The sequence below is a fragment of the Homo sapiens genome, chromosome 1 (genome assembly GCF_000001405.40).
Source record: "Homo sapiens chromosome 1, GRCh38.p14 Primary Assembly".
NCBI lineage: Eukaryota > Metazoa > Chordata > Mammalia > Primates > Hominidae > Homo > Homo sapiens.
The window spans coordinates 151,293,377-151,308,074 of NC_000001.11; the positions used below are offsets into that span (position 1 = coordinate 151,293,377).

The window sequence follows — 14,698 nt, forward strand, 5'->3', positions numbered from 1 at the left end:
CCTATGCTACGTCTGACACTCACAGATGACCTGGGCCACCGTCATCATGGGGCCAGATGGGGATGATCCTGAGCAACGGCGACAACCTGTGGGGTAGGGGCAGGAATGGGGAGGAGGGGGAGACTGGCAGTTCAGACCTGGTATACACCTGGAGCCTTGAGGAGGGGGATGAGGACAGAAGGGGGTCCTGGGCAAAAGACTGTAGATGGCAAGACTGTAGTGGAAGGAGATAATGATGAGAGGGGAAATACTTCTCAGAGCTGAAGGGTGGCAGAGGACAGGGCAATCAGAGGTCATAGTGGAATGGAGAAGACAGATGGAAGGAGACTGAGAAACTCAGAGCTGGACAGGGGTGGGGAGGTGAGAAGGGACCAGGAGGCTGTAAATGGGCCTGTTTTCTCCCTAAAGATGCCAAGGAGGCAGGTGCTGCTATCCCCTTCCCCAGCCTTCTGGACTTAGCCTTACCAGGGTCAGGAGGAATGTCCTAAAGGAGAAACAAGGCACTGGACCAGAGCTAGAAACTCTCTGGGAACCCCCCTCCCTCAACCGAGTCTCGTGGGATCAGCTTTCTTATGCTCCAGGGCTCCGACTTAAAGGGGAAGCCTGAGGCACTATAGCACCTGACCTCACCCCAGCCCCACCTTGCTGCATGATCTCCACGATCTGCACCACCTTGTCCATGTGTTTCCGAGCGGCAATCAGCCCTTGCAGCATCAGCATCTTATAGTAGTTGAACATGTCGCCATCCAGGCCGCCCATCACCTGGAAAGGGAAGAGAGCGTTGTGTGCACAAGGGGTCTTACACCGGGGATGGTCCCTGTCCTGACTGGCCTACCAGAACTCCTCCTCCTCTTGGGGCCCTGTTATTTCCCCCTTCCTTATTGGGCAGGAAGCTCCCAGGAACTCCTGCCTCACCCCTAATTACTGCCTGTTCTGTTCATCCCTAATTTGCAGGGAGCCCATCAGCTCCCTCTCCCATGACAGAGAAAGAATACAATGACCCCCGAGAGGCACCTCTCCTTCTTGACTCACATCCACAAACTCTGTGGTCAGCTTAAAGGCTGACGTCTCAAAGCCCAGATTTCGGGGTGAGCTGGAGAGGATGAAGCCAAAGTCGATGTGGATGATGTGGCCTTCTGCGTCCAAAAGGATATTCCCATTGTGTCTGAGGAGGGGGAATAGAGGAGAGGAAGAGGCAGTAGTCAGTCTGACTGAGGCTGGAACCTTAAGCAGCAATACACTGGCCACATGACACCAGGGAGGGGGGTCCCCTGCCATGTTTCCTGCTGCCCGTAACTCCAATCTCCTGTCCAGTTTCCTAGGACCTAAAGCTATCAGTGGAAAGAAAGGAAATCAGAAAACTGCTAACAAAGGCTATGGGGTCTGAAATTGCTATTAATAATTTAATAAAAATAGTTTAAGATTCTCCCAATTTCCCAGAAATTGCACTTCTGGCACCCAAACTATCCCAATCTAGTAGAGAATCCAGAAGCAAGGAAAGAGGGCCTCTGAGGCTCCAGCCAGCTGTCACAGAGGCCAAGCGCTCTACTCAGGGGAGGCTCTATTCTGAGCCTGTTTACCTGTGGGTTATTTGTAACTCCTGTCAGCCCACTGCAGATCAGAGGCCTCACTGGAAGGGAACAACAACAGAAGCAAGCAGGCTGAGTGGAGCTGAAATGTAAAATAGCGTGGGGGCTTCAAGGGGTAAGTTTTAAATCACTTACTTAAAAAGTCTCAGGATGAGGCAGTACTACAGGGCAGCTGTAGAAGAGTTAAAGGGAGATAAATCCCAGGTCTTTGTGATTCCCACATGAATGGCCAGTAGCAGAAGGAACAATTAACATGCTAAGCATGTGAGGCCTGGCCTATTCAGCATAACTGGCCTACTCAGTGTCAATAGAGGCTTTGTTAGGCTAAGAGCTGATGGTCTGAGGGCCACCTTCTCTGGGGTTGGTTTGGCCAAAAGAGGAGGGACAAAAGGAGAACCTAGTCCAACCTGAGTTCTTCCCCACTCAGGGAAAACACTAAAGATTTAGCAATCCAGGCACAATCTTGTGAGCCAGAATGGTTCTAGGAGTTGTCATGGTTCAACCTCACATTTTACAGGTGAAGAAAACAGAGGCCCTGAGAGAGGAAGTGATTTACTTGCCCAAGGTGCCATAGCCTCTCTTTTCACTACCAGAGTTAGCTCCAGCTGGAAAGCTGCTTAGGACTACTTTTGAAGCAGTTAAAGAGATCCTAAAACCTGACTCCAGTATGGGGCCTCATTCATTGTTGCCACTTCTTTCCATTGGTTGATTCCATTCATGGCTCGACTATATCTATTCTTTTTTGAGGTACTATGAACGGCTTATCAGCTACCTGCCCTCCTCTATCCCTTCTTTTTTAGAGGATGGACTCTCATCTTCCAAACATACTAATTCCCTAAAGGAAAGCCCTGGGGCCTGACTAGTGCCAGCTTCCCTGCCACCCATTTACTCAATCCCAGGACTGAGCTCTAGGCTCCCTGGGCCCTGAGTTCAAAATCCTGACACTTTGAGATAGTCTGAAGCTTGCAATCAAATTCCTTATAAATAATTGCATTCTCGGCCGGATGCAGTGGCTCACGCCTGTAATCCCAGCACTTTGGGAGGCTGAGGCAGGAGGATCACCTGAGGTCAGGAGTTTGAGACCAGCCTGGCCAAGATGGTGAAACCCCGTCTCTACTAAAAATACAAAAATTAGCTGGGCGTGGTGGCGCATGCCTGTAATCCCAGCTAATCAGGAGGCTGAGGTGGGAGAATCACTTGAACTCTGGGAGGCAGAGGTTACAGTGAGCCGAGATCACGCCACTGCACTCCAGCCTGGACAACAGAGCAAGACTCTGTCTCACACACACACACAAAAATATTACATTCTCCTACAGCTCTCAAATGCAGAGCCTGGGTCCATTTGTAGGGCTGGCAGGGTGGAATGAGCGCAGGGTGGAATGAGCACAGGGTCTAAAAGCTACCTGACTGTTATTTCCCTCATGAGGAAACACGTGTCTGACAGGGTTTTCATCTGGTTTAAATATAAGAATGTCAGGCCATGGCAGAACTTAATAGATGCTAGATTTCTTTTTTTTTTTTTTGAGATGAAGTCTCACTCTGTCACCCAGGCTGGTGTGCAATGGTGCGATCTTGGCTCACTGCAACTTCTGCCTCCTGGGTTCAAGTGATTCTCCTGCCTCAGCCTCCCAAGTAGCTGGGAATACAGGCGCCCGCCACCACACCCAGCTAATTTTTTATTTTTAGTAGAGATGGGGTTTCACCGTGTTGGTCATGCTGGTCTCAAACTCCTGACCTCAGGCGATTTGCCCACCTCGGCCTCCCAAAGTGCTGGGATTACAGGCGTGAGCCACCACACCCAGCCTAAGACTAATTTTTATTTTTTTTTTTGAGATGGAGTCTCAGTGTCACCCAGGCTGGTGTGCAGTCGCGCGATCTCATCTCACTGCAACCTCCACCTCCCGGGTTCCAGCAATTGTCCTGCCTCAGCCTCCTGAGTGGCTGGGATTACAGGCATGCGCCACCACGCCTGGTGAATTTTTGGTATTTTTAGTAGATATGGGGTTTTGCCATGTTGGTCAGGCTGGTCTTGAACTACTGACCTCAGGTGATTCACCTGCCTCAGGCTCCCAAAGTGTTGGGATTACAGGCGTGAGCCACTGCATCCAGCCTAGATGCTACATTTCTAATAAGCTGCTCTGTTAGCTAGCTAGCTAGCTAGTTGTTTTGTTTTGTTTAGACAGGGTCTCACTCTGTTGCCCTTAACCTCCTGCTCAAGTGATCCTCCCACCTCAGCCTCCAAAGTAGCTGGGACCACAGCTGTATACCACCATGCTTGGCTAATTTTTATTTTTTGTAGAGACGGGATCTAACTATGTTGCCTAGGCTAGTCTCGAACTCCTGGGCTCAAGCGATCCTCCTGCCTCGGCCTTGTTGGCTAGATTTTTTTTTTTTTTTTTTGAGACTCGCTTTGTTGCCCAGACTAAAGTACTGTGGCATGATCTTGGCTCACTGCAATCTCCACCTCCTGGGTTCAAGCAATTCTCCTGCCTTACCTCCCGAGTAGCTGGGATTACAGGTGTGCATCACCAAGCCCAGCTAATGTATGTATGTATGTGTATGTATATATATAAATTTTTTTTTTTTTTTGAGTTGGAATTTCACCCTTGTCGTCCAGTCTGGAGTGCAATGGTGCCATCTTGGCCCACTGCAACCTCTGCCTCCCGGGTTCAAGTGATTCTCCTGCTCAGCCTCCCAAATAGCTGGGATTAGGCGCCTGCCACCAGGCCCAGCTAATTTTCTTTTTGTATTTTAGTAGAGATGGGGTTTCACCATGTTGGCCAGGCTGGTTTCAAACTCCTGACCTCAGGTGATCCACCCGTGTCAGCCTCCCAAAGTACTGGGATTATAGGCATGAGCCACCACACCCAGCCATTATTAGCTAGATCTTAATGGGCCACCATGTTACTGGAAGCCCCAGCAGCACTGGCCATTGCATTTCCACCTTTCCAGGACAGCTGCCCTGTGCCGAGGGTCTAGAGCTGGAACTCATAGGAGCATTCAGGGCAGAGACCCTGGGTCACTGTTGGGAGATACTCTTAGAAGGCAGGGCCTAGATGGTGTAATTATTTTTGTACATTATGTGCCTCACCTATATGTGTAGTTAGTTTTCATCAAGGTCATGTCATATTGAAAAAAAATGACAGCTCTGGGCAAAACAACAGATACTTAAAAGCTGTGGAAATCATATGCTGGAATAAGAAGTGAGGAGAGTTCATGGCTGAGAGTTTCCACTTCATCTCCATCATGTTTCTCCTTTCTGCTCTCAGTCACTAACCACTACCCTTAGTGCCAGGCCCTATTATCTCTTGCTTTGTTGCTAAACACCCAATTACATCCACCTTCACCCACAGTGCCACAGGGCATTTAATCAACACAGACTGGATCATGTCATTCCTCTGCCTGCAAAATAAAACACCTAAGCTTCACAATGAAGGCCCTTCTTCAACTGGCCTCAATTTACCTGCCTCATGGTACCACCTCCTACTCCACTGCCATGCAGTGCAGTCTGTGCTTTAATCACATTCAATTATTTCTTCTAGCTGGGATGTACCTCCCCTGCAGCTTCCTCTGTCATCATTTTCCCTTGTCCTTGAAGACCCTGCTCACTCAAACCCTTAGTCCTCCCATAAATCCTTCATTTCTTTGCCCTTTTACCCTAGTTCTTATTAGTCTGCCTCCTGACTTAATGTCATGGGAACACATCTGTCTCTGCTTAAAATACATTGTTTCATTTTTCACATCTTTGCCATGGAGGGCAGTAATAAGTAATTGAGAACTACACACGAAGGGACAGAGAGAACCCTGGAGAAATGTTAGGATGAGCAGCAGAAGTCACCTACCTGTCCTTGACTTGCAGCAGGTAGCAGACCAAGCAGTACCCAGCACAACTTTGCACAAAATTGCGCTGTGCACTGAGGAATGCCTCAGTGGTGTAACTGCCGTGCTCCTGTAGGAAGTAATCGAGCAAGGAGAGCTGTGACTGTTTCTTCACCTGATGGATGGACACAGCATTGACCACTGGTTCAATCATGCCACTATCAGCCGAAATCACAAGAATCTTGTATGGCTTGATCCAAAGGGGCACTCGCTCCTGTTCCCAAATGGACTGTGAGGAGACATGGAGGATACAGGACTCTTATCTTTCTCCAAACTAGAGAAGAAGGCTAAAACTCTTCCCTTTCTCCAGCCTCTCTCCTTGGTAGCATTGAATTCTAAGCCATCAAATGAGTAAGACTCACTTAACCCAGTGAGGACCAGGGAGTTTGGAAAGGAAGTCTAGGGCCTGACAAAGTCAGAAACTACACTCAGGTATGTGGGAAAAGGTATCACCTAAGTAGAAAGCCCAAGACAGGCAGGGAGAACAGGAAACTTCACTATCCCCTCTCAAGCAGGGAGAATGGGAGCTGTAAGTTCAAATAATAAGAAAAAAGAGGCCAGGTGCGGTGGCTTATGCTTGTAATCCCAGCACTCTGGGAGACCAAGGAGGGCGGATCACCTGAGGTCAGGAGTTCAAGACCAGCCTGGCCAACCTCAGTAGAGAGTGAAACCTCGTCTTTACTAAAAATACAGAAATTAGCCAGGCGTGGTGGTGTATGCCTGTAATCCCAGTTACTCAGGAGGCTAAGGCAGGAGAATCGCTTGAACCCAGGAGGTGGAGGTTGCAGTGAGCCAAGATTGCACCACTGCACTCCAGCCTGGGCGACAGAGCGAGACTCTCTCCGACGAAAAAAAAGAAAAAAGGAAAGGATTTAGGTCCAGAGAAGACTTCTCTGGAAAATGAAAATATTTATATGGTATAAAGAACAGTATTAAACAATTAAGTGGCTTGCAGGTGACCAACCCAGGGGTATCAGAAGATCAATATTTCAGCACACTATAACCTACCTGCTACAGACCAATTTGGGAAGTTTTTATGTTGTTTTTTAAAGGGGGGAGGACCAAATTATTATTATTTAAAAATTTGATTACAACCAATTGTGTTGGCATTAAAATTAGAGGCATTAAGTTTGAATAATGGATATATGCCAAAAACCAAAAATTGAGTTTGGCAAAAACGGGCAAGGAAGTTTTCCAGTAATTTCAGATTAGAAATCAATTTAGAGAAATGAACCCCATGTTTACAATGATTGTGCCACAGATTTAAACTTCAGTAGTGCATTAGTAAACTGTTCACATTTAGATCTTCACCTTGAGATTTGACAGCTATTTCTTGAAAAAATCTCAGTGCCTTGTATAAATAAATTGGTCTTCCATGTGCCTTAGCACACACTTAACACTAGGAAAAGGTGGGTCACTAAACTTTGCCTCCGCAAAATTTTCTTTTTGGCTCACTTCAGTTAGAAATGCTGATTTCTTCAGCCAGGAGCGGTGGCTCATGCCTGTAATTCCAGCACTTTGGGAGGTGGAGGTGGGCGGATCACCTGAGGTCGGGAGTTCGAGACCAGCCTGGCTCACATGGAGAAACCCTATCTCTACTAAAAATACAAAATTAGCCGGGCGTGGTGGCGCATGCCTATAATCCCAGCTACTTGGGAAGGCTGAGGCAGGAGAATCGCTTGAACCTGGGAGGCGGAGGTTGTGGTGAGCCGAGATTGCGCCATTGCACTCCAGCCTGGGAAACAAGAGCAGAACTCCATCTCAAAAAAAATAAAATAAGGAAAAAAAAACGCTGATTTCTTCAAATGCATATTTTTCTCAGAGACAGGGTCTTGCTATGTTGCTCAGGCTGGAGTGCAGTGGCTATTCACAGTCTCGATCCTGTTACTGATGAGCACGGGAGTTCTGACCTGCTCCATTTCCGACCTGGGCCAGTTCACCCCTCCCTTAGGCAACCTGATGGTCCCCTATTCCTAGGAGGTCACCATATTGATGCCGAACTTAGCGCGGACACCCAATTGGCATAGTGGACTGCAGCCCAGAACTCCTGGGCTCAAGACATCCTCCCACCTCAGCCTCCTGACTAGCTGAGACTACAGGCCCATGCCAGGGTGCCAGGACATTTTGGAAGTTTTGATCTAAAAGGCAAACCTAGCACTCTAAAGTTCAGACTTGGAACAGGACAGGTGCAGGTCACAAAAGGGCCAAAAGAGGCCGCTGTGGAGCTGTTCCTATGGCTGTTCTTCCCAGGGGAAAGTTGCACTAGCTTCTCTTTACTCTGCTTTTGTTTTAGACCTTGGCAGGAAGGTGGTCCCCGGCAGAATAATCTGTGTAGTCACCTCCGGTTGGCTGGAGTTGGGCTGAGTTTCCCTTTCTCTCCTTTTTTTTTGAGACAGAGTCTTGCTCTGTCGCCCAGGCTAGACTGCAGTGGCACAATCTCAGCTCACTGCAACCTCTGCCTCCTGGGTTCAAGCTATTCTCCTGCCTCAGCCTCCCAAGTAGCTGGGATTACAGGTGCCCATCACTGCACCCAGCTAATTTTTGTATTTTTATTTTTATTTTTTTTTTTTTGAGACGGAGTCTCGTTCTGTCGCCCAGGCTGGAGTGCAGTGGTGCAATCTCCGCTCACTGCAAGCTCCGCCTCCCGGGCTCACGCCATTCTCCTGCCTCAGCCTCCGGAGTAGCTGGGACTACAGGCGCCCGCCACCACACCCGGCTAATTTTTTGTATTTTTAGTGGAGACAGGGTTTCACCGTGTTAGCCAGGATGGTCTCGATCTCCTGACCTCGTGATCCACCCGCCTCGGCCTCCCAAAGTGCTGGGATTACAGGCATGAACCACCACACCCGGCCATAATTTTTGTATTTTTAGTAGAGACAGGGTTTCACCATCTTGGCCAGGCTGATCTTGAACTCCCGACTTTGTAATCCACCCGCCTCGGCCTCCCAGAGTGCTGGGATTACAGCCACTGTGCCTGGCCTCTCCTTCTCTTCTCTTACCTGCAGTTGCTTCAACACCTGAAAGGCCAGAAGCTCTTGCCGAAGGTCATCCCCACACTTGACAATGACTGACAGGAGCCGCCAATTGGGGAGATGGCCGTAGGGGGAGCCCTCTCTGATCCGCCTGTGAAGACAGAAGTAAAGGGTGTCAAAGGTTGATGCCAGGGTGAGGACAAGAGACATGGCTTCCACAAAAAATCCCAAGCAAACGCCCCATAGGGCAAGGACCCAGACAGCCTGGAAGCCTGACAGATTTTTTTGGAGGCTGATGGACAATAAAGTTGGTGCAGTGAGCACTTACAACTGCCTCTGAGCTTTGAGAGGGGTTCAGAGACCCACACCCAACTCACCGTACTTTCTCCTGCCAGGGCTCTTTGAGAGCAACTGCAGAAGGATCTTCTGGGTCTCGTTTGAAGGCTGTCGGGGTATGAGCCAGCTGTTCCGAAAGGCGCCGGCTGGCAGGAAGAAAATACATCATTTGCTTGGAGAAGCTACCCCCAAGCCCCATGCCCAGTCTATACTGACATTTCCTGCACTGTCTCCTGGATTCTGGACACACAAAGATAGGAACCCAGGCTGAAAGGGACTCATGGAAGAAAACATAACCAATGACACCTTTTTGCTAACTGATTGTAATCATGTTAAAATTAAGATTACCAGGCCCTCCATATTCCTCTACCAAGGCTGATTCAGAATGGGTGTGTCTCTAGAATTTGCATTTTTCTTTTCTTTTCTTTTTTTTTTTTTTTTTGAGATAAGAATCTCGCTGTGTCTCCCAGGCTGGAGTGCAGTGGCGAGATCTCGGCTCACTGCAAGCTCCGCCTCCTGGGTCCACGCCATTCTCCTGCCTCAGCCTCCCGAGTAGCTGGGACTACAGGCGCCCACCACCACGCCCAGCTAATTTTTTTTTTGTATTTTTTTGGTAGAGATGGGGTTTCATCGTGTTAGCCAGGATGGTCTCGATCTCCTGACCTTATGATCTACCCGCCTCAGCCTCCCAAAGTGTTGGGATTACAGGCGTGAGCCACCGCACCCAGCCTAGAATCTGCATTTTCAACAAGTCCTCCTTCCTCCCCCTGGATTCTGACACAGTCGCTTTGAGACCCCACCTTGAGACACACTGCTCAAACTCCTTCCTCTGGTGCTTTCTTGTTTTTTTTTTTTTTTTTTTTTGAGACGGAGTCTCGTTCTGTCGCCCAGGCTGGAGTGCAGTGGTGCGATCTCGGCTCACTGCAAGCTCCGCCTCCCGGGTTCACGTCATTCTCCTGCCTCAGCCTCCCAAGTAGCTGGGACTACAGGCATCCGCCACCACGCCTGGCTAATTTTTTTGTATTTTTAATAGAGACGGAGTTTCACCGTGTTAGCCAGGATGGTCTCGATCTCCTGACCTCGTGATCTGCCCGCCTCGGCCTCCCAAAGTGATGGGGTTACAGGTGTGAGCCACTATGCCCGGCCCCTCTGGTGCTTTCATCCCTTTGGAGTCTTTTTAAAATTTAATTTCCTTCTTTGGTAGCCCAAGTAATTTCTCAACCTACACCTTCATTGCCTCAAGTTTGGTGGCCCCAAACAAGGACAGAATGAAAGAGGGAAAGACACAGGCCAACAACAGATGATTGAGATGGAGAGGAAGGTAACAAAGAGATGGGAAGTTCCTGAAAGAGGGATGAAAAATGAGGGGCAATGTGATCTGGCCATACCGGATGTCCCCTGCTGCAATGAACACAGGCTCCTTGCTCTCCTGGCTGGTGATGCTGTCCACAGAGAACTGGGAGATGTTGTCACAGCTGTTGGTATGCACTTCGGGGAGCTGGAGAAAGGGGAGTGCTGGTCAGAAGTGCTAAAGTATAGGTCTCCCGTCTTTCCCCTCCTGCTTGCTTGCTATCACTGCAGCATGCTCATCCCTCTCTTTCAAACTCTGCTTACACACCATGTTGGTTACTGGGACCCCAGGCTGCCCAGAGCAGCATTTCTCAACATGTGAACTACCTGCAGTAGAATTACCCAGAATGCAGATTCCCAGGCCCCACCATCAATCTGAATTATAATTACTAGGAATGGGATCTGAAAGTCTGAATTTTTAACAAGTTCTCCAGAAGACTTCCAATGCACTAAAGTTTGCAAACCACTGCCATGACCATTACAGGAGCTCAAAATTTCAGCCTCACTGAGAGTCCCCCAAGGATAGGGATGCGTTCTCCCCTAGGGTCCAAAGCAGACTCTTTGCAGACTAGCTTCTGACAGTTTCTTCAATCTAAGTCATTCAATCTTATCTTCTCATCTCTCTCTAAATACAGAATATTCTACCAGACCCCAAGGCCCATGTCAAGTCTCTTCTGTCCTTCATACCAGAGCATTTCTTCTCAACTCCATTTGTCACCTAGTACACACTGCTTTGTTGTATATCTAAATTTTTTTTTCTTAAATGTCTAATTTCTGCAATTGGACTATAAGCTCAAAGACAGAGATTCTGCCTTTTGGCAAAGTGAAACCTGGCTGTGTGTTTTTTTTTTTTTTTTTTAGACGGAGTTTCGCTCTTGTTGCCCACGCTGGAGTGCAATGGTGTGATCTCGGCTCACTGCGACCTCCGCCTCCCAGGTTCAAGCGATTCTCCTGCCTCAGCCTTCTGAGTAGCTGGGATTACAGGCGCGCGCCACCATGCCTGGCTAATTTTTTGTATTTTTAGTAGGAACGGGGTTTCACCATGTTAGTCAGGCTGTTCTTGAACTCCTGACCTCAGGTGATCTGCCCACCTCAGCCTCCCGAAGTGCTGGGATTGCAGGCGTGAGCCACCGCGCCTGGCCCTGGCTGTGTTTTTGTTTTGTTTTGTTTTAAGACAGAGTCTCACTCTGTCACCCAGGCTGGAGTGCAGTGCTGTGATCTCAGCTCCCTGCAGCCTCCGCCTCCCAGGTTCAAGTGATTCTTGTGCTTCAAGAATCACTTGCCTCCCGAGTAGCTGGGATTACAGGCATGTTCCACCACACCTGGCTTTTTTTTTTTTTTCTTTTGAGACGGAATTTTGCTTGTCACCCAGGCTGAAGTGCAGTGGCGTGATCTTGGTTCACTGCAACCTCCGCCTCCTGGGTTCGAATAATTCTACTGCCTCAGCCTCCCGATTAGCTGGGATTACAGGCACATGCCACCACGCCCGGCTAATTTTTGTATTTTTAGTGGAGACGGGGTTTCACCATGTTGGCCAGGCTGGTCTCGAACTCCTGACCTCAGGTGATCTGCTCGCCCTGTCCTCCCAAAGTGCTGGGATTACAGGCGTGCGCCACCGCACCCGGCATAATTTTTCTAGTTTTAGTGGAGATGGAGTTTCACCTTGTTGGCCAGGCTGGTCTCGAAATCCTGACTTCAAGCGATCCACCCACCTCGGCCTCCCAAAGTGTTGGGATTACAGGTGTGAGCCACTGCGCCTGGCCAGCTGTGTTAATAGCTCTACACAAAATTCTGCTCTGGCTCTTCATGCCCCAGAATAAAGTTCAAGTTTCTTTCCCCAGCTTACAGGGTCCTTCCTATAGTCTGGTCCATGCCCACGTGTCCAGTCTTATTCTTCACCACTTCTTACCTCACACCTGCACATCACAGCCAGGCAAAATTTCTTTCAATTCCTATAATGGCCCAAGCTCCCTCTTGTCTTCTGGCCTTTGCATGCAGTGTTCCCTCTGTCCAGCACTCTTTGTCCAGCTAATTCCTACCCATGCTTCCAGCCTCAGCTGAGAGATTACTTCCTCCAGGAAATCTCTTGTGATGCCCGCCCCAAGTCTGGTGCTCTTATAATGTCCTATCCTTTCCCCCATGACTTGACTCTCACCACACTACAACTACTTGCTTACTGGCCTTGTTCTCTTTCCAGTTAGGTCATAAATCCCTTGTAGGCAGGGGCCAAGTCTTGTTCACTAGCATACAGCACTCAGGTCTGGCACATAGAAGGCCCTCAATAAAAATTTCTTGAATGAATTAATGTATGACTTCTCATCCTCTGCTATTCTATGACAACTTTATGTAGGTGTTCAATAAATATTTTCATTAAATTTCCCTCACTCCCCTTGGCCTAGAAGCTCCTCTTTACATTTAAATCTGAATCCTTCACCTGGAAAATGAACTCCACCTGAATCTATTCCAGGCTAGAGTTGTTCAGAGCTTTCCCCATATTACCCCTCACTACCTACACCACTCATTAGGATACTTGCCTTACCCTGCCTTGGGATATGCTGTCTTGTTTCCAATATAGTGAAAGCTCCTGGAGAAAGCTCCTGTGACCCAGCATTACCTCCCTGAAGCCCTCTCACCTCCACTTGCAGCTCGCCTATGTCATCCACCGACCAGGCCTCATCATCGTTGTCATAGTTGGGCACAGTGCTGAAGCTGCCAGCTCGCTGCTCATGGGTAATACCACATTCGGGCAAGTTTTCTACGGACCTCGTACTCCGAATTCGGTTCTCGGGGATCCGGGCAGGGACACTGGTGGTGTCAAAGTTTTCACATTCAAGGACTTCCACATAAATCAGGTAGGGAGCCTGGGGGAAGAGTGAGACAGTATTTGCAACTTACTTCCACCACTAACCCCCAAATCTCAACTCTGTTAGCAAGGTTCTTCCTGCTGTCCTTTCTCCTAGCTCCAGCCTTCATCCAATAGTCCTCTGAAACTATGAACACTATATTTAGGGCAGATACTTGTCCTATGATCACCTATGTAAAGAATTTGTGTGACAGAATCCTTAAGTCTTCAAAATATTTCAACTGAGCTCCAAAATGTACAGATGATGTGCTTGGGCCAAACCACTCTAGACTATCAATTACAGGCTGTAAGGGAGGCCTAGATGCCTCTGTGGGCTCGTCCTGAAGACAGGGCCCAGGGAGCTACAGTGGACAAAAAGACTGGGACAAAGCTGGGCACTGTCCCAAGGAGTGTCCCAAACTTCAGTATTTCCTTTGAAAGAAGAATATGGGCCGGGCGCGGTGGCTCACGCCTGTAATCCTAGCACTTTGGGGGGCCGAGGCGGGTGGATCATGAGGTCAGGAGTTCAAGACCAGCCTGGCCAAGATGGCGAAACCCCGTCGCTACTAAAACTACAAAAATTAGCCGGGTGTGGTGGCAGGCGCCTGTAATCCCAGCTACTCAGGAGGCTAAGGCAGGAGAATCGCTTGAACCTGGGTTGCGGAGGTTGCAGTAAGCCAAGATTGTGCCACTGCACTCCAGCCTCCGCAATAGAGTGAGACTCCATCTCAAAAAAAAAAGAAGAATCTGAACCATGAATACTCATTCCAGTCAGCACACAAATTCAGCTAATTCTCTCCAGTGTGAATTGGGCATCCTTCTCTCCTTTTGTCGGCTCATTCTGATCAGAAAAGGTCTTAGAAACAAAATATTTCTCTATCCTTATGGTTGCTGTATCTGGAAAGCCCAAGAGTTATAGAAAGGCTGGAGAAAAGCTACCAAAATGACCATAAGGTGGGGTGAAGAGCAATTCTCCTAAGATACAGCAAGAAGGAAGCTAAAAAGATTAGGTTTCTTTGGTCCAGAAAAACAAAGCCCAAAAAGGGATACAGGGGGGCTCTCAAAATCACAATCGCACTGAGACAGAGTCATGGTTGACATATGCATCATGAACTATGAAGGGAGTCTAGGATGTTGGTGAGGGCCTCACTGGTCATACACGCAAACTCTGAACAACCATGGGTGAAGAGTCACGTCCAGGGTAGGGGTTTGGGCCAGAACCCATCTACCTTGTCCTTGGAGTTGAGGACAACAGCCTGTGTGTGGGGTACACGGACCACGTGGTGGTCAAAGCCAGCAGTGGGCAGCCAGACTCGGGCAGGGAGCTTATGGTTGAGCAGGGAGAGCTCTGAGATCAGCCTCTGTGTTTTCTGCTCTTTGGTGGGGAGCGTGGCCAGCCGCTTGCCGATCGCCATCAGGGACTTGATGAATTCTCTCTCAGGAGCCAGTCGAACAGGCTACAGGGGTTTGGGGTAAGACAAAAGATGGTGAAGAAACCATAGAATACAATGGCACACCCACTCAGTCACTCCTGGCCATGCAGGCCGGGGACCCCACTATCTGGAGAACTCCAGGAAAGCAGCTGCTTTTTAGTCTTAGTAGGAGCTTCCACCCACCCTTCACAACTTGAATTGAGAATAGCCAGCACATTCCTTCCCTATAGGCTATCCCTTGAGGGTAAGGGAGGCCATGAGTCCAGGTAACTGGGATGCACTCCTCTTCTCCTGGAC

General features: G+C 48.8%; 1 protein-coding gene and 1 pseudogene across 15 annotated transcripts in view, besides 4 other annotated features; both read right to left on the reverse strand.

The window, feature by feature from the left end:
• The window catches only part of PI4KB (phosphatidylinositol 4-kinase beta), a 35,919-nt gene that overhangs the window by 1,580 nt on the left and 19,641 nt on the right, over positions 1–14,698 (reverse strand). For 9 of the 15 annotated variants that reach the window (NM_001369624.1, NM_001369625.1, NM_001369629.2 and 6 more), the window contains 8 exons: positions 14,198–14,425; positions 12,760–12,987; positions 10,165–10,274; positions 8,818–8,922; positions 8,468–8,591; positions 5,432–5,697; positions 1,033–1,165; positions 642–762 (listed from right to left, as the gene is read on the reverse strand). In NM_001369624.1, coding sequence (NP_001356553.1) covers positions 642–762; positions 1,033–1,165; positions 5,432–5,697; positions 8,468–8,591; positions 8,818–8,922; positions 10,165–10,274; positions 12,760–12,987; positions 14,198–14,425 — 1,315 coding nt within the window. Of the gene's footprint in view, positions 1–23; positions 87–641; positions 763–1,032; positions 1,166–5,431; positions 5,698–8,467; positions 8,592–8,817; positions 8,923–10,164; positions 10,275–12,759; positions 12,988–14,197; positions 14,426–14,698 lie in introns of all 15 variants that reach the window. The other 6 variants (NM_001369626.1, NM_001369628.1, XM_017001488.2 and 3 more) reach the window with 1 other exon arrangement.
• Positions 178–1,161: an enhancer, noted in NCBI's record as "H3K27ac-H3K4me1 hESC enhancer chr1:151266030-151267013 (GRCh37/hg19 assembly coordinates)". NCBI's record gives its function as "activates a minimal SCP1, AML or CMV promoter by ChIP-STARR-seq in naive H9 embryonic stem cells {active_cell/tissue: H9 hESC(naive)}" and the evidence as "EXISTENCE:reporter gene assay evidence [ECO:0000049][PMID:30033119]".
• Positions 1,162–2,146: an enhancer, noted in NCBI's record as "OCT4-NANOG-H3K27ac-H3K4me1 hESC enhancer chr1:151267014-151267998 (GRCh37/hg19 assembly coordinates)". NCBI's record gives its function as "activates a minimal SCP1, AML or CMV promoter by ChIP-STARR-seq in primed H9 embryonic stem cells {active_cell/tissue: H9 hESC(primed)}" and the evidence as "EXISTENCE:reporter gene assay evidence [ECO:0000049][PMID:30033119]".
• Positions 1,677–1,971: a silencer, noted in NCBI's record as "tiled region #291; HepG2 Repressive non-DNase unmatched - State 17:Gen3'". NCBI's record gives its function as "represses a minimal TATA promoter and a strong SV40 promoter by Sharpr-MPRA in HepG2 cells {active_cell/tissue: HepG2}" and the evidence as "EXISTENCE:reporter gene assay evidence [ECO:0000049][PMID:27701403]".
• Positions 2,147–3,129: an enhancer, noted in NCBI's record as "H3K27ac hESC enhancer chr1:151267999-151268981 (GRCh37/hg19 assembly coordinates)". NCBI's record gives its function as "activates a minimal SCP1, AML or CMV promoter by ChIP-STARR-seq in primed H9 embryonic stem cells {active_cell/tissue: H9 hESC(primed)}" and the evidence as "EXISTENCE:reporter gene assay evidence [ECO:0000049][PMID:30033119]".
• On the reverse strand, positions 7,289–7,587 carry RN7SL444P (RNA, 7SL, cytoplasmic 444, pseudogene; annotated as a pseudogene).